This window comes from Homo sapiens, chromosome 10 (genome assembly GCF_000001405.40).
Source record: "Homo sapiens chromosome 10, GRCh38.p14 Primary Assembly".
Classification (NCBI taxonomy): Eukaryota; Metazoa; Chordata; class Mammalia; order Primates; family Hominidae; genus Homo; species Homo sapiens.
In genome coordinates, this window is record NC_000010.11 from 102,975,772 (window position 1) to 102,997,758 (window position 21,987).

Sequence of the window (21,987 nt, forward strand, 5' to 3'; positions counted from 1 at the left end):
TTGGCAGTAGTTTAGGGTTATGGAGTAACAGAAGCATAGCCAATTAAAACTATGAGAAAACTTAGGTGTATTATAATTGGCCCCTCTGGAATTTGGCCCCAGCTTTGAGGATCATAATTACAACGAAGTCAGCAGTTTGAAATAAGTTTTCACCATAGGGGAGAAGAGACTCAGTGGCACTACGGCTTGCTTTCAGTCTTAAGTGAAATTCTACTTCCTTGTCTTAAAAGAACCTCACTGGTTCTTTCAATTGAGAAACCTTGATGGTTTGAAAGAGATACTTGGAAGAGAGTGATTAATGAAAATAATATTGGTGTGTATAAAGTCATTGAGCAGCTGAGGGGCTTAGAAGCTGAGAAGATCTGAAAGCAATGTGAGCCTAAAATACACTAAAACATGCATGCTTGTGCTAATTTTCTGTCAAATTTACAAAATCTTTGGAGGGAGAGTGGAATTTAGAAGAGAAAGCAAAGTGAATAACATTTTATGATTAATGAAAGAAGAATTTAGTAGAGTAGTGCAGAATTGAAGCCCTAGGCAGATTCTGAATTATCCTTTGTTTCAGGGTTCTCTGAACCCTCAAGGCTGGGTTAGGTGCCCACCTTGGTACTGTGTAACATTATGTCTGTTACAGTATCAGTTCCAATTCTTGCCTTTTTTTTTTTTTTTTTTTTTTTTTTGAGATGGAATCTTGCTCTGTCACCCAGGCTGGAGTGCAGGGGTGTGATTGCAGCTTAGATTGCAGCTTACTGCAACCTCCGCCTTCTGGGTTCAAGCAGTTCCCTTGCCTCACCCTCATGAGTAGCTGGAATTACAGGTGTGCGCCACACGCCCAGGTAATTTTTTTTTTTTTTTTTTTTTTTTTTTTGTATTTTTAGTAGAGACAGGGTTTTACCATGTTGACCAGGCTGGTCTTGAACTCCTGACCTGAAGTGATTTGTCCACCTTGGCCTCCCAAAGTGCTGGGATTACAGGCGTGAGCCACTGCGCTTGCCCTGTCCACTACTTTCTAATTGGTTGTTTTCAAACTCTCTGAGCTTCAGGAAGACAAGGACCATGTTTGGACTCTCAGGGTTGGATGTACGTTAAGGGTTTAATAAATGTTTGTTGAATGAATAAACAGGAACCCCTTTACCTTTCTTTCATTTATGCTACTTCCTTGTTTTGGCATTTCTGAGATATTGCTGTTAACATCATGCAGCTTGACTATTAACACTTTACCTTTATGTGCTGATAATTGGTCAAGTTGGGTATTGGGTACAGGGAGGCTCACAGTATTATTCTTCCCATAATAAAAAGAGTTTTAGAAAAGACATTAACATCTGTAAAACTGATTGTCCTAAAGAGCTATTCCCATCTGACTGCAGAGTGGAAAGCATCTGATGGCCCAATTGTGACAAGCTCTTATTATTTACTCTCATGGATGTTTGTACAGGTTGCGTATTCCTTGTATGTATGTTTGGGAACAAGCATTTTGGATTTTTTTTTAAAGGTTTTGGTATATTTGCATTATGTTTACTGGCTGAGCATCTGAAATCCAAAAATCCAAAATCTGAAATGCTCCAGTGAACATTTCTTCTGAGCATCATGTCAGTGCTCAAAAAGTTTTGGATTTTGGAGTATTTCAGATTTTGGATTTGGGATACTCAACCTGTATTTCAACTGGGAATAGTTTGTTTCTCAAATTGTAGTTCCCTTATGATTTGAGGACATACTCTAAGGATCCTTAAGTTTCCTTGTGAAAAAATTTTTAAAAATTGTGTTATTGGCTGGGCGCAGTGGCTCATGCCTATAATCCCAGCACTTTGGGAGGCCAAGGTGGGTGGATCACCTGAGGTCAGGAGTTCAAGACCAGCCTGACCAACATAATGAAATTCTGTCTCTACTAAAAATGCAAAAATTAGCCGAGTGTGGTGGCACAAACCTGTAGTCCCAGCTACTGGGGTGGCTGAGGCAGGAGAATCACTTGAACTCTGGAGGCGGAGGTTGCAGTAAGCCAAGAGCGAGACTCTGTCTACTTTTTTTTGTTTTTAAAAGAGGAAGTGAGGAAAGTAGGTGAACAGGAGGAATGATGAATGATGCTGTTAGACAGAATCTCCAGACCATTCCTTGGTCTTTGAGTTCCTCCTGGGACCTATTTTGTTGTTGTTGTCGTCGAGACAGAGTCTTGCTCTGTTGCCCAGGCTGGAGTGCAATGGTGTGATCTCTGCTCACCACAACCTCCACCTCCTGGGTTCAAGCGATTCTCCTGCCTCAGCTTCCCAAGTAGCTGGGATTACAGGCATGCACCACCACGCCTGGCTAACTTTTTGTATTTTTAGTAGAGACAGCGTTTCACCATGTTGGCCAGGCTGGTCTCAAACTCCTGACCTCGTGATCCACCCGCCTCGGCCTCCCAAAGTGCTGGGATGACGGACGTAAGCCACCATGCCTGGACTTTTTTTTTTTTTTTTAAGCTCCACTTAGAGCCATCTCAAACATACGATTTTCAAAACTGGACTCGATTTTTTTTTTCCTCTTCTCCCCGCCCTCTGCAAATCTATACTTGCTGCCATCATCCTTATTTTAATTAATGGCCGTCCTGTCTTTCCAGTTGTCAGGGTAAAATCTGAATGTTATCCTTTATGACTTCGATTCTCTTAACCTTAGGTGTAATCTGTTAGGAAATCTTACTGACTCTAGCTTCAGAATATTTCCAGAATGTGGCCACTCCATACCATCTCTACCTCTACCACCCAAGCCCCTGTCATTTTATAGCATATTATGGCTGTACCATTAGCCTCCTTGCTGGTCTCCTTGCTGTTTTATCTTTGCCTCCTTATAATTATTTTCCACACAGCAGTCAGTGATCTTTCAAACAAAAAACTTTACTGATGTTTATAAGCACACACAAAAATGCACATGTTATGAGTTTGCAGTGAATTTTCGCAAACTGGTCATACCTGTGTGTGACCAGCGCCCAGAGCAAGAAACGGAATGTGACCAGCAACTCATGCTGCCTTCCAGTCCCTGTCCCAAGGGTAATCATCACCTTGACTTGTAGAACATAGGTCAGTTTTGTTGTTTTTGTACTTTATCTATAATAAATGGAATCGTACAATATGTACTGTATTGAGTCTGGCTTCTTTTATGCAGCCTTATGTGTGTGTGAATCATCCATGATGTTTTATGAAATTGTAAATGGTTTCTTCTCATTGCTGTGTGCTATCACATTGTGTTAATATACCACGATTTATTTATCCATTCTTCCATTCTGCTAATGGGCATTCAGATAGTTCCCGGCTTTAGGCTATTTTGAATCATGCTGCTTGGACATTCTAGTACGAGTCTTTTGGCAAATATATGTATGTGTTTATGTTGGGTATATACCTAGGAGTAGGATCTGTGGTTCATGAGGTATGTGTGGGTTCGGGCTTTGTATTACCAAATAATTTTCCAAAATGGTTGTACCCCAGCGAGTGATCTTTTAAAATATTTGTTAAATCCTATTATTTGTTGTTTGAAAGCTTGTCAGTGGTTTATCAACTCACTCAATAATAGCTGAAATTCTTACAGTGGCATATCACTTGTCTTCCTACTTCTCTTTGAACATGCTAAGCACACGTATCTTCAGGCCTTTGTGCTAGCTGCCCCCACTACCTCATTTGTTATACCACCTAGCTATGTTACCTGCTTAAATTCAGATGTCTGCTCACAGGTCACTAACATATGTAAAATAGCCTATTCTTTTCATCTCTGTCCCTTTATTTTGCATTATTTTTCCTCGTACTACTTACTACTGAGCATGTCTATGTTTAATATGTGTAACATTTGTCTCCCCGCCACCCACCAGGGACTTTGTTTTTTTGTTAATTGTTGTATCCATTATCCTCTAGAACAGTAGACATTAATAGTTGCCCAATAAATAGTTGAGTGAGTAAATGAATACATAAAACAAATAGTTGTAATAGACATAATGGATGAAAATAGAATTTGGGGAGAATAAGACAAATGAGGTTAAAAATTGATAAAAATTACTTAATTTTAATTTTTATTAAAACATAGCTGAAAAAGACACAGGGCTTAAAATAGCAACTCCTTATCTCATTCTAATTCCTACTCTCCAAAGTTAACTACTTTGTTCTCTTCCATCTCTTTCTTTTCTTTTTATTTTTTTTTTTGAGACATATTCTTGCTGGATCACCCAGCCTGGAGTGCGGCGGGGTGATCTCGGCTCACTGCAATCTCTGCCTCCTGGGTTCAAGCCATTCTCCTGCCTCAACCTCCCAAGTAGCTGGGATTACAGGCACGTGCCACCAAGCCCAGCTAAGTTTTGTATTTTTTAGTAGAGACAAGTGTTTCGCCATGTTGGCAGGCTGGTCTCAGACGCCATGTTGGCCAGGCTGGTCTCAGAACTCCTGACCTCAAGTGATCTGCCCACCTCGGCCTCCCAGAGTGCTGGGATTACAGGTGTGAGCCACTGCGTCCAGCCTCATCTCTTTCTCATACCATTAAACTTGATATTTCTAAACTTTTAGTTAAATTGCTATCTATTTTATTTCAGTTTTAGTGGGTTTTTTTTTTTTTCATAGCTCACTGCAGCCTCAACTTCCTGGCTTAGGTGATCCTCCCACCTTAGCCTCCTGAGTAGCTGGACTACAGGCGCATACCACTACACCTGGCTAATTTTTGTATCTTTTGTAGAGACAGGGTCTCGCCATGTTATCCAAGCTGGTCTCGAACTCCTGGGCTCAAGTGATCTGCCCGCCTTGGGCTCCAGAGTGGTGGGATTATAGGTGTGAGGTGCCATGCCCAACCCAGTTTTAGATCTTCTTTGTTGGCTCTTACGCTGAAAGATAAGGACTTTCCTTTTCTGTATTTCCCCTCTCCCCACACCACACATTCATACTTTTCTTCCTCTATCCTGTTGTTATAATTATCAGATTTAAGATGTGCTTTAGATGTCACTTCCTTAGAGAAATGTTCCCTAACTTTTCATCTTAAACCAATGTGTTCAGTGTTTACATTATTATGACTACATAAAGATTGTTCATATGATACAATCAACATATTGCGATCACATGCTTTTTTTTCTTCCCTGGAATCCTTCATAAATCTCTTTTTCTTTGCTTACTTTTCTTCACATCACCAGCTTATCCACATACACTTTGCTGGAATTCTAAAGTAAATACATCAGGTTATGCATCAGTTCTTTAGCTTGTTTCGGAAGCACATCTCCTAGAACTGCCAACCTGTGCTGGCTCTGTACTGCTGTTGCCCTGAATCTTACCTTCACAAATTAAGAATTCCCTTCATCACCAGGTGTGGTGGCTCGCACCTGTAATCCCAGCACTTTGGGAGGCTGAAACAGGTGATCGCTTGAGTCCAGGACTTCAGACCATTCTGGGCAACATGGCATAACCCTATCTCTACAAAAAAAAATTTAAAAATTAGCCAGGTGTGATGGCGTGTGCCTGTGGTTCCAGCTACTTGAGAGGCTGAGATGGGAGGATCACCTGAGTCCGGGAGGTTGAGGCTGCAGTGAGCTGTGATCATGCCAGTGTACTTCAGCTTGGGTGACAGAGCGAGACCAGTCTCAAAAAAAAACCCCAAAACAAATAATTCCCTTCCTCTTTTTTCCTATATTAAATTTTTTACCTCTGGATCCCCACATCAGGATCTTTGTTGGTTTACTCACTTATCTTGGGAGAACATATCCTCCAGTAGTTCCTAGAGAAAAGTGATCCTCCCACCTCAGCCTCCCGAGTAGCTGGGACCCACAGGTGCATGCCACCACACCCGGCTAACTTTGGTATTTTTTTTTTTTAAGTCAAGGTTCGCCATGTTGCCCAGGCTGGTTTTGAACTCCTGAGCTCAAGCGATTTGCCTGCCTTGGCCTCCCAACGTGCTGGGATTATAGGGATACACCACCACGCCTGACCAGGGATGGTAATTTTTTTTTTGATCTTGTGTATCAGTTATCTATTGCCATAATACTATATCTCAGATCACTGAGAGACCTCAGTTGCACATAATAGTAAGTGTTTATTGGCCATATGTCTAGGATAGTTGGCTGGGAGGCTCTGCTGATCTCGAGGGTTGGCCAGCTATTAGCTGATCTAGGATGGCCTTGGTTGGAATGACTAGGGTGACTGCCTCTTCTTCATTTGTTTCATCTTTCTTGGAGGACCAGTGGTCTAGCCAAGGTGTGCTTTTCTCATGGTAACAGTGGAGGGCAAATGGAATGCATAAGTGCTTTTCTTACATTTGAAGTATATCCACTACATATTCAGAAATATCCTATTTTGGAACTATAGTCATTTGGTGACCAGAAAAATTATCCATGCAAATGTGCAGAGAAAAAATTTAAGATATTTAGTATCCTTCAGACGACTAAACAGTCGTCACTTTCTCAAGGAGGTGTTCTTTGCCTTTTTATATTAGGTAAGATTCTCCTTTAAATCTCACTATTAGCACTTGGTTATTGTTATTTCATAATTATCACACTGGCTATATTATTTGATTCATATTGGTCTGTCTCTCTAGACCTTAAGCTCCACTGAAGACAGCAACCCAGTCCAGCATAGGGTTAGCCTGGGGCCTGCAGTAGTGAGTACATAATAAATATTTGTCAGACAAATGAATGAAATGATTAGATCTCAGGAATAGAAGGTATTTTTAGGGTTCTTTTTATTGGCTCTTTTTGTATTTGAAGTGTGTTCCTTCTTCAAGGATTTGGCAGAGAAGAGGAAAAACATAGACCATTACTAATTTGCAGGAGAGAGAAGCTGGCCCAGCTTTGGGCTGTTTGCTCGGCCTAGCTGCATTCCCCTGTGTAATCAAGACTGTAAAGCTTTGATGGGTAGTTAGTTCTTTGTGGCTTTAGGGCTTTCCGATATAAGTAATTGTTTTCATGAGTGTATTAATTTGACTCTGGAACTTGTAAGCAACTGGAAACAAGACTGTTCCTACTTGTTTATGTGAATGTTTGTTGTTCTGAATTGGATGACGATACTCATTGTTATTTCAGAGGAGTGGTTGAAGAATACATTTTTAAACTAATTAGTGATGGAGTTGCAATACAGTTTTGTCATTGGTGCTGCATTCAATAAACTTATATTACAGTCTAAATCTTGGAATGTATGGAAAATTAACATTAATTAAACTAATCTAAGTTACAGAAAGCTGACAAGTGAACAGAACTGAATATTAAAAACTATTCCTTAAACATGAGTTTACTTCATCCACTCTATGGTGTTTAGTTCTACTTAATAATTCCAGCCTTTTCATAATTTGAAAGGAGACCCATATTTTGTGGCTTATTGTTTGTTCAACTTTGATATTGATTTTAATTGTTAGGACAGGAAATTGTGATAGAACTAGAAATTTCCTCCCAGGATTGAAAAAAGACCTTGCTCAGGTGTGATCTAAATATTATATTTCTTATTAATGACAAGTTTTTTTGTGTTTTGCTTTTTTGATAATTAAGGAGTAAAATATATGCTATATATTATATAACTATGGAATTTTAGGTCTTAAATGGACAATATCAAAGCAGCCTAGCTGTCTTTAAAATATTTATATTTTTATATATATTTTATATATATATTTATATATATAAATTTTTTAGGTCGGGCGTGGTGGCTCACACCTGTAATCCCAGCACTTTGGGAGGCCAAGTCGGGCAGATCACAAGGTCAGGAGATTGAGATCATCCTGGCCAACATGGTGAAACCCTGTCTCTACTAAAAATACAAAAATTACTGCAGCCTTGACCTCCCAGGCTCAAGTGATCCTCTCACCTCAGCCTCCCAAGTAGCTGGGATCGTAGGTGCACACCACGATGCTCGGCTAGTTTTTTAAATTTTTGTGTAGAGACAGGGTCTTTCTATGTTGCCCAGGCTGGTCTTGAACTCTTGGGCTCAAGTGCTCCTCCTTCCTTGTCTTCCCAAAGTGCTGGGATTACAGGCATGAGCCACCTGGCCTAGTTTGTTTCATTTTACATAGCACTTAAATTGTAAATTTTTTTTTTTTTGACAGAGTCTTGCTCTGTTGCCCAGGCTGGAATACAGTGGCGGGATCTTGGCTTATTGCAACCTCCACCTCCCAGGTTTGAGCGATCCTCCTGCCTCAGCCTCCTGAGTAGCTGGGATTAAAGTGCCCGCCACCACGCCTGGCTAATTCTTGTATTTTTAGTAGAGATGGGGTTTGATCGGGCTGGTCTCGAACTCCTGACTTCAGGTGATCCACCCGCCTTGGCCTCCCAAAGTGCTGGGATTACAGGTGTGAGCCACTGTGCCTGGCCAGATTGTAAATTTTATGAGCCTACTGTTGGTTGGCAGTAGTTGTTCAGTAAATATTTTTTGAAAGAGTTAATAAATGAATGCATGTAGTTATGGATGAAGATTACGTGAATAAAGACTGAAGCCCAGAGAGGTTAAAAACTTATGTGATAATCCAAGACAATAAATAAAGCTATTTGGGAATGTTCTTTATTGTCCCCTGATGGATGTGTGGAATTGTTTTACTAGGGAGGAGGATTCAGCAGAAGCTGGATAAACAATTATAGGGTTTTTATGTGGTGTTGACATGTAGAATAGCCAAGGTTAAATTGGCCAATTAAAGCTGGAGTAAGATGGCTTTAGGAAGTGTTATATATTAACAGAATGAGAGAAATAATCAGAAATAATTTCTTAGTCCCAGTAGCCATTAAGTAGGGGAATTTTAATTTTTAAGTGATGGCTCCAGGTCTTCATGTGTATAAGATTCTTGCAGGAAAATTTTTTGATGTTACTAGTAATTTTAAAGGAATATGTGTAAAAGGCTTAGGGTAGTGCTCGCTCTACAACTAGATATTTGACAATCTAAGCCTAGATTATAACTGAAATATAATTGTGTAATCTTGTCCTTACTTCTATCTTATTTTTTTGAGACGGTCTCACTCTGTCACCCAGGCTGGAGTGCAGTGGTGTGATCTCGGCTCACTGCAACCTCTGCCTCCCGGGTTCAAGTGATTCTCCCAAGTAGCTGGGACTACAGGCGCCTGTCACTACGCCTGGCTAATTTTTGTATTTTTAGTAGAGGTGGTGTTTCACCATGTTGGCCAGGCTGGTCTCTAACTCCTGACCTCAAATGATCCACCCACCTCAGCCTCCCAAAGGGCTGGGATTATAGGCTTGACCACTGTGCCCGGGCTTTACTCTTATTTTAAATGTCAGTTTGTTAAGGACAGAAAAAAAGACTGAATTTTGCTAATATTTTCTACACTTGATCTTAGCCAAAAGGCCGAGAAGCGATGAATTTTGCTAATATTTTCTAACATGAAAAGGAAATAACGAAGGGAAAGTCTTTTTTTTCTTTTTAACTTTCTGCAGCAGTTGGGCAAAATTCCTGCTTTGTGTAGGAAACCCTGGCAGACCTTGAGAATTCTAAATTGCTGCAGATTGTTTTATCTTTTTTTTCTAAAACAATTTGAATAGCGGATCCTTTCCATCTGAAACAAGTTTTTCCCCTTCTCACCCTCTTGTTTCATGTAATTAGCAGTCCTCCTCTGTATATTCCTATTTTGTCTGATATAGCCAAAATTCTTTAAAAAGAATTTTAAAATTTTAAAATTCTGCTGTGAGTCCGGCAAAGGGGCTGAGAGAATTTCTGTGTCAACATCATTGAGAACTCTGAAAGCTTCTTTACATACCAAGCTCCTCCTCATCAAAGCTAGATACAGGAAGTGTTTATGGTCCCTTTCTTCCAAGGGAATGGCTCTAAACTAACCAGCAGACCCTGTCTCACTTATGTTCTCCTTCAGGTTCTTCCTTGACATCCTACTGGCTACTCTTAGTCATGTTCTTTCTAGCCATCAAGTCTCCAAACTGCGTGGCCAGACAACTTGAGTTACCTGGGAAGTTCCTAGGGGCTAGATAAGTACTTTATGCCTTATTCTACAGCAGAATATTTGTTTTGTTTACATGACCAGCTCAGATTGATAGAATAGCTGTCTTTTAGCAACAGTGTAATCATTTAATGACAGCTGTTCAAGGGACTAGTAAAAGGATTGGGAAAGGGGGGCCTTCTAAACAAAGTGAATGGGCCCTGCCAACTGAGGAGTGATGTCTCCTAAATGGTTGGCATGTTCAGACTTCAGAGTATTATCCATCAGCTTGGAGACCCACAAGTTTTTTAAATATCTAGTGTTATCTGTTTACCTGTTAGCTTGGTGCCAAAGTGATTGCACCTTACCTCCAGACCATGTCTGTGCTTGCCCTGATGTACCTGTCATGTTCAGTACCTGTTTTGGTTTATAGGGCTTGGACTAGCTCCGATGTTCACTTGCCCTGTTTTACTTAGAGAAAGTCATCATGTGACTAAATTTTAAGATTACAAAGATAATGCATGTGATTTAGACTTGAGTGTGTAAAAGGCTTAGGGTAGTGCTCACTCTACAACTAGATATTTGACAATCTAAGCCTAGATTATAACTGAAATATAATTGTGTGATCTTGTCCTTACTTCTATCTTATTTTTTTGAGGCGGTCTCACTCTGTCACCCAGGCTGGAGTGCAGTGGTGTGATCTCGGCTCACTGCAACCTCTGCCTCCCGGGTTCAAGTGATTCTCCCGAGTATGGGTGGTGATGGACCATTTGTAAAGCCTCAGAAGCCAAACTGGAATTAATGTGAAAGTTATAGGGAAGTTAGTTTCAGCTTAATCAAAGTAGAATTTCCAAAAAGTAGAGCCATTTGAAAATGTCCTGTGGCTGGGCGCGGTGGCTCACGCCTGTAATACCAGTACTTTGGGAGGCCGAGGTGGGCGGATCACGAGGTCAAGAGATTGAGACCATCCTGGCTAACACGATGAAACCATGTCTCTACTTAAAAAAAAAAGTCAGCTGGGCATGGTGGCAGGTACCTGTAGTCCCAGCTACTTGGGAGGCTGAGGCAGGAGAATGCTGTGAACCTGGGAGGCGGAGCTTGCAGTGACCCGAGATTGCGCCACTGCACTCCAGCCGGGGTGACAGTGCAAGACTCAGTCTCAAAAAAAAAAAAAAAAAGTTTTTATCCTCCAGATCGTAGAATTATATTACTAGAGGTGGTGATTCAGCAGAAGCTGGATAAGCAATAATAGGGATTTTGTGTAAGTGTTGACATATGGGTAGGGTGGGCTAGGTGATTTGCTAATAGTGAGATATTTTGATTCAAGTATAAATTTCAGTAGTTGCAGATGAACACAGAAGGAACAAGCACAGATTTCTGCTGATGGTTAGTAAGACAACATTGCCAAGGGAGGGTGTCCCCAGAAGAGCAGAAAACCTAATATGAAAGCTCAAATTTAAAAGATGGAAGCAGGAAGTAAACTGCTGAAGGAGAATGTTCAGAGGAAGAAAACCAGAGGGTTTAGGGTACAAAGGCTGAGGGTGGAGAGTTTGAAGGAAGAAGAAGAAATTAGAGAACCATAAAGAAAATGATATATTCTAAAGCGGTAGTCCTCAAGGTAAATTGCATGTAGCTGTGCCTTGGGATGCAGTAGGACTTACATATATATATATGAATGAATATGCATATACATTAAGCTTATTATTATTATTATTATTTTGAGACGGAGTCTCGCTCTGTCACCCAGACTGGAGTGCAGTGGCGTGATCTCGGCTCACTGCAAGCTCCGCCTCCCAGGTTCACGCCATTCTCCTGCCCCAGCCTCCTGAGTAGCTGGGACCACAGGTGCCCACCACCACGCCTGGCTAATTTTTTTGTATTTTTAGTAGAGGTGGGGTTTCACCATGTTGGCGAGGATGGTCTCGAACTGCTGACCTCGTGATCTGCCCGCCTCGGCCTCCCAAAGTGCTGGGATTACAGGCTTGAGCCACTGCGCCCGGCCAAGCTTATTTTTATATGGATTTCATGATGTATATATTTTGTAATATATATAATTTATAAGTAAATATAAATTAGGGAGGTGTACTCAACATTTTCATAGAATACATAGTCAAAAATGGTTTGCAACCTCTGCTCTAACAAAAATAAAACACCCTACATCTTTGGTTCAAGATTGTCACCCCCAACAGTTGTGTGAAATGTGGGGCAGGAATTATCACTATTTTCCTTTGGAAATTAAGGTTCCAAAGATAATGAGACCAGAGCCAAAGGTCAGAGTCCACTGTCTTCTCTCTGAGGCCTCAATGTGAAGACCTGAACTGTGGCAGCAGATAATTCTGGAGACCTGTTAATCAGCTGTATGCACCACGCTACTTAATTGATTTAGAAATATTGAAAAGGCCGGGCATGGTGGCTCATGCCTGTAATCCCAGCACTTTGGGAGGCCGAGGCGGGTGGATCACCTGAGGTCAGGAGTTTGAGACCAGCCTCGGTAACCTGGTGAAACCCCGTCTCTATTAAAAATACAAAAAAACTTAGCCGGGAGTGGTGGTGGGCGCCTGTAATCCCAGCTACTTGGGAGGCTGAGGCAGGAGAATCACTTGAACCTGGGAGGCGGAGGTTGCAGTGAGCCGGGATTGCACCTAGTGCATTCCAGCCTGGGCAACAGAGCGAGGCTGTTTCAAAAAAATAATAATAGAAATATTGAAAAGGCGTGGGACAAAGATAGGGTCTCAAGACCCTTACTGTAGTCAGGGGTGTTAATACGTTTTAGACTGAAACCTGTGAATGCTCACAGGTGCAAATGAAAGTGACACAGATACTACAAAAGTGCTTTCGTTTGACCACAAAGAAATTCTATAGGTCTGGGATTCTCAAAGTTTTGACATGTCATTTTAAGAATCTTATACAAAGTATAGACCTTTTCCCCAGAAGTATGCATACACACACATACTTTGGCATACAGTTTGAGTGAATGTCTCGTTCTGCAGCTGCCCTAGAGCATCCAGGGACCTCAGCTCATCATTTGCTAACTTTACCAAATGATGGGTTAAAATTCTCTTCCTTGGTAAAATTCTGCCCACACCCTATCTTTTGGGCACTTAATTATACCTAAAAATAGCATTGAGAAAAGCAGCTATTTCATCCACAATTAGAGAATATTCTTGAGTCCAGCATCAAAGCCATTATGGTGCTTTGATCAATAAGTTTGTTCTCCACGGAAGTGAGGCTTAATGGCTTAGGTGACCGACTAACTTTCTCCTTAGTTGCTCTAGAAGTCACCTGTGAATGAGCCCTTTCAAAGGGAATGATTTTGACTTCTGAAAACTTAAGCAGATTAGAAGCCTTGAGTATAGGATTTAGAATAAGAAGTACTCAGTAGTAACCCTGGTTGTCTAACTACACAGGCTTGTATGATTTGAACTTTTGTTGTTGTTGCTCTTCTGGTTTCCTTAAACACCAGACAGATCCGATTACAATTCTAAATATTTAGTTCTGTGCAAACAGGAACAGCTCAACAGTTCACCTTCACTGAGTAACGTATGTCTATTTAGATAAGCAAACTACTGTTGCAAAAACCCTGGCAAAATGTCAGGATGAGCAGGGGAAACTTTCATTATCTTTTCAGCCATCCGAACAGTTCCCCAAGAATCGGACATTTTTGAGACTTAACTAGTCAAGGTTAAATTACTCATTGTTCAGTGAGTAAATTCTGTCTAAAGACTTAGCTGGGGTCGTCTTTATTTTATTTTTTTCATTCTTCTTTTTTTTTGGAGGTTACTTCAACAAATAAAGTTTTATTTTTATTTAGGCTTTCCTTGTATTTTAGGGAAGAGAAAATATTTGCTTTATGTTCTTAAAGTGAGTTTAAAAAAAAAATGGTACATTTAAAGATAGTTTGGGGACGGGCATGGTGACTCATGCCTGTAATCCCAGCACTTTGGGAGGCTGAGGCGGGCGGATCACCTTAGGTCAAGAGTTCGAGACCAGCCTGGCCAACATGGCGAAACCCGATCTCTACTAAAAATACAAAAATTAGCCAGGCATGGTGGCGCATCCTTGTGGTCCCAGCTACTTGGGAGGCTGAGGCAGGAGAATTGTTTGACCCAGGAGACGGAGGTTGCAGTGAGCTGAGATGGCACCACTGCACTCCAGCCTGGGCGACAGAGTGAGAATCCTATCTCAAAATAAAATACAATTTGGGGTTTCTTAATGCCTATACTCCTTTGTTTAACTATAGGGCTTCTAGTTCTTTAAAGATGATTAGTGATTGTACAAAAGGTATAATATAATAATTATAACAGCCTCTTACTTTTCATATCCATTAAACTTTTTTTTTTTTTTGAGACAGAGTCTGGCTCTGTCACCCAGGCTGCAGTGCAGTGGTGCAATCTCGTCTCACTGCAACCTCTCCCTCCCCGGTTCAAGCGATTCTCATGCCTCAGCCTCCCAAGTAGCTGGGATTATAGGCATGTGCCACCACACCTGGCTAATTCTTTGTTGTTTTTTGTTTGTTTGTTTGTTTTTAGTAGAGATAGGGTTTCATTATGTTGGCCAGGCTGATCTCGAACTCCTCACCTCAGGTGATCCGCCTGCCTTGGCTTCCCAAAGTGCTGGGATTACAGGTGTGAGCCACCGCGCCCGGTTTAAGCCACCGTGCCCGGTCTTAAACTTTCAAGTAGACAGGACACACTGGCTACTTGTGTGCCCCCAGATGTATAGAATTATGTTACTAGGGATGGGGATGCTACAGAAGCTGGATAAGCAATTGTAGGGATTTTGCGTGGGAATAAAAGTGTGGAATGGCTAAGGTTAAACTGGCCAGTTTAAGAAAACTGAAGAGCAAGATGGCTTTAGTAAGTGGTATAGATGAATAGAATCAGAAAAATAATAGAAACAGTTTCTATTAGTGTAGTTCCCAATAGGCATTAAGTAGGAGAATTCTAACTTTAAGCTATAGCAATGGCTCTAAGTCTTCATGTGTACAAAGTTCTTGGAAGTAAAAGTGAAAGGGGTGGGCGTAGAATGAGCCTCATTCCTAACCAGAACACTCATCACTGACCACCTATACTTGTTTTGTAACAGAGTGAAGCGATCTTTAATGCAATTTTGATATTCTTTCCATCCACTCTTGCATTTTGTTCTTTGAGGTGTGAGAGAAGTGTGTATCTGTCCGTTCCTTAATGTACAGTGCCTTGAATGGTTGACGGTGTGGAACTTTAAAGATCTTTGTGTAAATTTACCTTCTGATTTCTTTTACCCCCTGTTCCTCAGCCTACATGGAGAACTTTCACTGTAATTGGAGAGTAGGAATAGTTATCTCTGTGTACAAATGAGACCCAATTCTTACATTTTCCATTGTGGCTGTAGGAAATTTTATTTTATTTTGAGACATTCTTGCTCTGTTGCCCAGGCTGGAGTGCGGTGGTGCGATCTCGGCACACTGCAACCTCTGCTTCCCAGGTTCAAGCAATTCTCCTGCCTCAGCCTCCCGAGTAGCTGGGATTACAGGCGTGTGCCACCATGCCAGGCTAATATTTTATATTTTTAGTAGAGACGAGGTTTCACCATGTTGGCCAGACTGGTCTCGAACTCCTGACCTCAAGTGATCTGCCTGCCTCGGCCTCCCAAAGTGCTGGGATTACGGATGTGACTCGCCGCACCAGGCCAGAAATTTTAAATTTTGAAATGGTGTGCCCCTTCTCTTACTTGGTTCTCTTCATAAAATCCCTCCAACTTCAAAAGGGATGGAAATAATTAATGGAAGCAAATAAGATATTGATTAAAAGGATATTTATTTTTAGTAATATTTCTTTTGGGTTACTTCCTTGCCCCATTTTAAGATTACAGTATCTGATCTTAGGATTTGAACTGTTCCATCTGCTTTCCTCCATTACAGTGCTCTCCTGCTTTTTCATATTTGGCTTGCTTAACTATCAGAATTTTGATTCTTTCATTTCTTAAATTCCATCGTCTGAAGTAAAGCTATACTAATTTGGAGTATCTGAAGGAGTAGAGGGAAGGCCACTCTGAACTAGCATAAGATCTTAAATACAGAGCATTTTTCAAGGAATGTTATATTATCATTTGTACTGATAAATTAAAGACTAGAACCACAATATATTACCTAGTATTGGTCCTTAAGGAATTTGCAATTACCTGAGCCTTGGTTTTGCATGTAAATAGATGCTTCTAAGTGCTTGAGTCTACTTTGAAAGAGTTCTTAATAGTTTAACCAGTAACACTTAGTCTTGGTTATACTCTTATTTAGTAAACATTTTATTTTTTTTCTCCATAGATGGGGTAAAGGTAAATTTAGCTCAGCTGTATGAACTATTACATTAAAGTTTTTTAGAGCAATTTTTATAGCTTTTCTCTATATACATTTGCATTTACATTACCTGTATGTACTATACATACAAATTGATATGTACATGCTGATGTATTAAAATCCCTGAGCAAACTACATATTTGTGGACAATTTGAGCAAATAATCTTTTGAGTATAAACTTAGACTAAGCTTTCTGAGTACAGGAATCACATACTTTGACATTCTTCTACTTGCTTCCAAAGTAAACATATTTGCCAAAAACTTTGCCCAGGTACCCACATTGTAGTGGGGGCAGCCTTTTACTGGGAGCAAGCTCCAAGTTCCTTTTTTTTTTTTTTTTTTGAGATGCAGTTTGCTCTCTTGCCCAGGCTGGAGTGCAGTGGTGTGATCTTGGCTCACTGCAACCTCTGCCTCCTGGGTTCAAGTGATTCTCCTGCCTCAGTTTTCTGAGCAGCTGGGATTTACAGGCATCTGCCACCAAGCCCTGCTAATTTTTGTATTTTTAGTAGAGATGGGTTTCACCATGTTGGCCAGGCTGGTCTCGAACTCCTGATCTCGAAGTGATCCTCCCACCTCGGCCTCCCAAAGTGCTGGGATTACAGATGTGAGCCACCGTGCCCGGCCTCCAGTTCTTTTCTGTTTGGTTTGTGAGTGAGTGAGAATGGAGTGTGTGTAAAGGGGGACTGGGAGGCTGGGAGGTTGACCTTTGTGCAGTCTACCTACTTGTGAATGGGAATGTGATTCCATGCCTATTGCTGATTCTCAAGCCTGCCTCGGTACCACAGTAGTTCACAGCAAGGGCTTTGGAGTCAGCCCTGTATTTGAACCTCAGCTCTCTGATTTTCCAGCTGGGGATCTATGTTGGGCAAATCAAGTTAATCTGCTTAAACTTCAGTTTCCTCACCTAGAAAATGAAGGTCATAATTGCAGCCTCACTAGGGTATCTGTGATCTAGGAGGGATTTTTGATAGTGGTAAACAGTAGATTCCTGCCTTACTAATGTGTAGGTCAGTTTATCATCTACCTAGCACCATCACTTTTTTCAAAAAAGGTCTTTTCAACCAAGAATATGTCATACATATCTGTATTTTCTGACTAGATTGCAGGTTCTTGGTCCTTGTCTTACTTGTTTTCGTAACTGGCTTATAGAACTTGATACTCAGCACATGTTAATTGAATGACTAGATGATGCATGGTCTCCTTTGAGCCTACCATAGCATTTGGATTTACCATCATTATGTTTACTTATGTGCGTTGAGAAACTTATGTGATATAAGGTTTGCTTTAAACTATGAGGTCTTAAATATTTCCCATGGTCAGAGTAGATTATTGATCTAGTTTGGCTAGACATGTTCCCTAACTTCCTTAGGATTGCTGTTAGACTTCCTGAAGCTGAATTTTTGTGGGAAGAAGATTAAGACTTTTGTGACTTAGGAGAGGTAAGTTTTCCCTAGTTGTATACTAGCAGGGGCTAACTTACCTGATTTCACCCTTTAATTGGTCAAAAGTTTTGGATTGCAGCAACTTCTGTATAACTTTTTCCAAAGAGAATTCTATTATCTGATAATTTTGGAATGTTTTTTGTTTTGTCTGTTGCCTTTTGCTTATAGTGGATTGTTTCCTCCTATTGTTTGTGATTGTGGCTTGTGAGTAGGTTTTTTGTTGTTTCTCTCTCCCAAGAAGAGCTTTACCTGTGGAATCCTGTATGGCTTTGGTTGAGGATGTATTCTTTGTTGTTAATTTCTTGACTTAAAGGTTTCAGGACGACCAAGGTAGTAAAAATTTAAGCTTCAAACCTACGTAAGGTGTAGGTCTGTCATTAAAAATTTTCAGGGTATACTTTTCCTTCCTTCCTTCCCAGAGCCTCAGCAGAGGCAGGTAAGTGTCCTTAGCAGCTCACCTGGCTTGGTGGGCAGATTCTTTGTGGTCTACTCTTTTCCTAAAGGGGCATCCCTTTGGAGGTTCTGGCTTTATGTCAAAATCTTTTTTCTGTGTGTGTGTGAGTGTGACAGAGTCTTACTCTGTCACCCAGGCTGGAGTACAGTGGTATCATCTTGGTTCACTGCAACCTCTGCCTCCCGGGTTCAAGTGATTTTCCTGCCTCAGCCTCGTGAGTAGCTGGGATTACAGGCACATGCCACCACGCCGAGCTAATTTTTGTATTTTTAGTAGAGACGGGGTTTCACCATGTTGGCCAGGCTGGTCTTGAACCCCTGACCTCAAGTGATCCACCCGCCTTGGGCTCCCAAAGTGCTGGGATTACAGGCGTGAGCTACCGCACCCGGCTCAAAATCTTAACTTCTACTCCTTACTTGATATGAGTTGTGAAGTTGCAGACATATAATTTATTCTAGTTAGTTTAAGCAGGAGAGGTTTACCATAAAGCATTAAACACCAACAAAATTGCCGGAAGGGCTGAAGAAATAGATTTCAAGTTTGTTCATTCAATCAGATATTTATTGAGCATCTACCATATGTTTAGTACTATTTTTGGGTTCTTGGGGAACACATTAGTGAACAAAACAGACAAAGCTCACTTTCCTTGAGGAACTTACGTTCTAGAGGGTTTTGTCTTTAGGAACAATTCTCAAAGCCACACACAAAACTGGCCAACAAAATAGCTGCCAGTTGGGGTTTTAAAAACCAACCCAGAACCACATGACCACTGCCATGGTTAGGAAACCACACTGATCAGGAAGCCTCCACTAAAGCTGTCGGCTCCAGAATCATGCTCATCTGCTTTTGATCCACAGTAAATACCCAGGCCTTGCCTCTGATACCCGTGACACTAGTTACTAGACACTGTACACTCAACTAATGATGCTGCAGAACAATCAAATGCCTTGGCCTATGCCTGTTTGCAAAGTAGCAGAACTAGGTCTTCAGTTTCTCTTTCCAAATCCATGTTAGTGCATATGATTGGTGGAACCTAATTACATCAGGAGCCCTAGCTGGAAGAGGCTCTTGAGCCTTCATGGTACAGAGCAGACGACCTACAAAGAAAGGAGAATATTCAATGCCAATCGACCAAATGTTCCTTTCTTCTTCATGTTGGTTTTTAAAACCCTATCCCCTATATTATGGGTGTAGATCTCTATTTTGCCATCCCAGCTCAGGAAAGGGGCTGCCCACATGCGTTTGGTTTTTAGTTCTCTCTGCTTTTCTGGCTCCTGGGGTTTTCTTCTTCTTATTCTTCCTCCTCCCCCTCTTCCTCCTCCTCCCCCTCTTCCTCCTCCTCCCCCTCTTCCTCCTCCTTCCTCTTCCTCCTCCTTTTTTCTCTCCAGACAGAGTCTAGCTCTGTCACCTGGGCTGGAGTGCAGTGGCATGATCATGGCTTACCACAACCTCTGCCTCCCAGGTTCAAGTGATTCTCCTGCCTCAGCCTCCCAAGCAGCTGGGACTACAGGCATGTGCCACTATGCCCAGCTAATTTTTGTATTTTTAGTGGTGATAGGGTTTTGCCATGTTGGCCAGGCCGGTTTTGAACTCCTGACCTCAAGTGATCCACCTGCCTTGGCCTCCCAACGTGCTGGGATTACAGGTGTGAGCCACACCTGTCCTTTCTCTTTCTTGCTAACTCAGCTTTGCCTTTAAAATAATATTTGTTCTATTATATGTAGAGTTTTTGGGGGAAAGTTTTCAGGTTATGTAGATAATTTCAGAATTAGATGCCCCTAGTTTACAAGTACTAATTTAATAAACCATGTTAGCTTATTAAAAATGTGTTACGTCTGGTGGGGGTGGGGGTTGGAGAAAGATGGTAGGCATTCCATTGATTTAAAGTTTTTTTTTTTGAGATGGAGTTTCACTCTTGTTGCCCAGGCTGGAGTGCAGTGGCGTGATCTCGGCTCACCACAACCTCCGCCTCAGCCTCCCGAGTAGCCGGGAGTACAGGCATGCACCACTCCCCCCAGCTAATTTTGTATTTTTAGTAGAGATGGGGTTTCTCCATGTTGGTTAAGCTGGTCTCAAACTCCCGACCTCAGGTGATCTGCCTGCCTGGGCCTCCCAAAGTGCTGGGATCACAGGCATGAGCCACCGTGCCTGGCCTCATAGTTTGGAGTTTTTAAGGAATTGGTCCATTTTATCAAAGTTGTCCAATTTGTGTGTATAGAATTATCGTATTATCCTACTATCCTTTTATTATCTGTGAGGTCTGTAATGGTATTCCCCTCTTTTTTATTCCTGATGTTGTAATTTATATTATGTCTTTCTTTTTTGTTAGTCTTTCTAGAGGTTTATCAATTTTATTGATCTTTTCAAAGAATGAAGGTTTGGTTTCATTTTTTTTTTTCTATTGTTTTTCTGCTTTCAGTAGTTACAACAGCAGTGCCTCTACCTTTTTATTTGGCCATCCCTCTTGTATCCCTATATTCTGCCATCTTTTTTTTCCACTTTTTATTATCAAGGCCTTTTCTTCATCAAGGCTGATGAAATTTCATACTGTTTATAACTGCAATTAAGACTTCTTTGGGCCAGGTGCAACAGCTCACGCCTGTAATCCCAGCACCTTGGGAGGCTGAGGCCAAAAGATTGCTTAAGGCCAGGAGTTCAAGACCAGCCTGGGCAACATAGGGAGACCTTGTCTCTACAAATAATTTAAAAATCAGTTGGGCATGGTGGCGCATGCCTGTAGTCCTAGTACTCGGGAGGCCGAGGTGGGAGGTTGAAGCTCAGTAAGCTGTGATTGCCCTACTATATTCCAGCCTGGGAAACAGAGCAAGACCCTGATTCAAAAACAAAACAAAAAACTTTGATTTGTGAATAGGTTGAATCTAAAAGTTAATTTATTTGCATTATCATAATTACATAAAAATTGTTCACTTCATATCCTAGTAGTATACCTTTCTTTCCTTGTACAGCATTTATTTTCTCATGGCCTTTCTTCCACGAGATATTTGCCTTTGTTATGTCCTCAATTATTTTCAAGCTCTCCATTGTATAATTCATTCTCTTATTCTATTCACTCACATCTCCAACCTCCTCCTAGAGCACATTGTTTCTCCAAACTGGGCTGACTGCTCTCTAGAGCTGACATCCTGTGACTTCCCATTACTGCTTTCCTAGATTATTTCCTGGATCCCATATCCTCTCCTTTCTAGACATACTCCCTGATTTTGATGAAACATGTCAGTAAGGACTGTCCTAAAGAAGGTGAAGAGAAAGGATACTTTCTGAGTCCTTTCATTTAGCTCTACATTTGATGAGAGTTGGGATGAGAATGGAATTCTAGATTGAAGAGAATTTTCCCTGAGAATTCTTATGGATTGCTTCATTGTCTGCAAGCATCCAGTCTTAATAATGAGGAGGCCAGTTTTATCCTAATTCTTGATCCACTGCAGGTGACTGATTTCTCTGGAAGCTTTTCAGAATCTTAGTATTTTGAAAGATTGGAAATAGGTCTTTTACAACTTGCTGTTCGGGCCATTGATAGGCCATTTTAGTTTGAAGATGCATGTTCTTTCCAAATATTATTTTGATAGTTTTCTCCTGTTTTCTGTTTTCTCTTTCTGGATATTGAATATGTATAAAAGTTTGCTTCGAATTCTGAAGAATAAATATAATGGGAAGACAGATGTGAGGTCTAGATTCTTGGTTTTAATATTTATGTAGCATTTGTCTAAAATGTGGAAGTCACATGCTGTAGACCAACTAAGTTTGTAAAATATTTGTAAAATATTTATAAAGTATAATTTATATAAAAAGCAGTTAAGAAAAAGACCCAAATAATATAAAGTTACCATTATAAGGTCCCATATGAAGCTGTCCTTCAATTAAGAACAAAAATCAATGTACAGGATAAAGCTAC

The 21,987-nt window shown here is 40.9% G+C and overlaps 1 protein-coding gene across 2 annotated transcripts in view; it reads left to right on the forward strand.

The window, feature by feature from the left end:
* The window catches only part of CNNM2 (cyclin and CBS domain divalent metal cation transport mediator 2), a 171,929-nt gene that overhangs the window by 57,478 nt on the left and 92,464 nt on the right, over positions 1-21,987 (forward strand). The window lies entirely within an intron of this gene.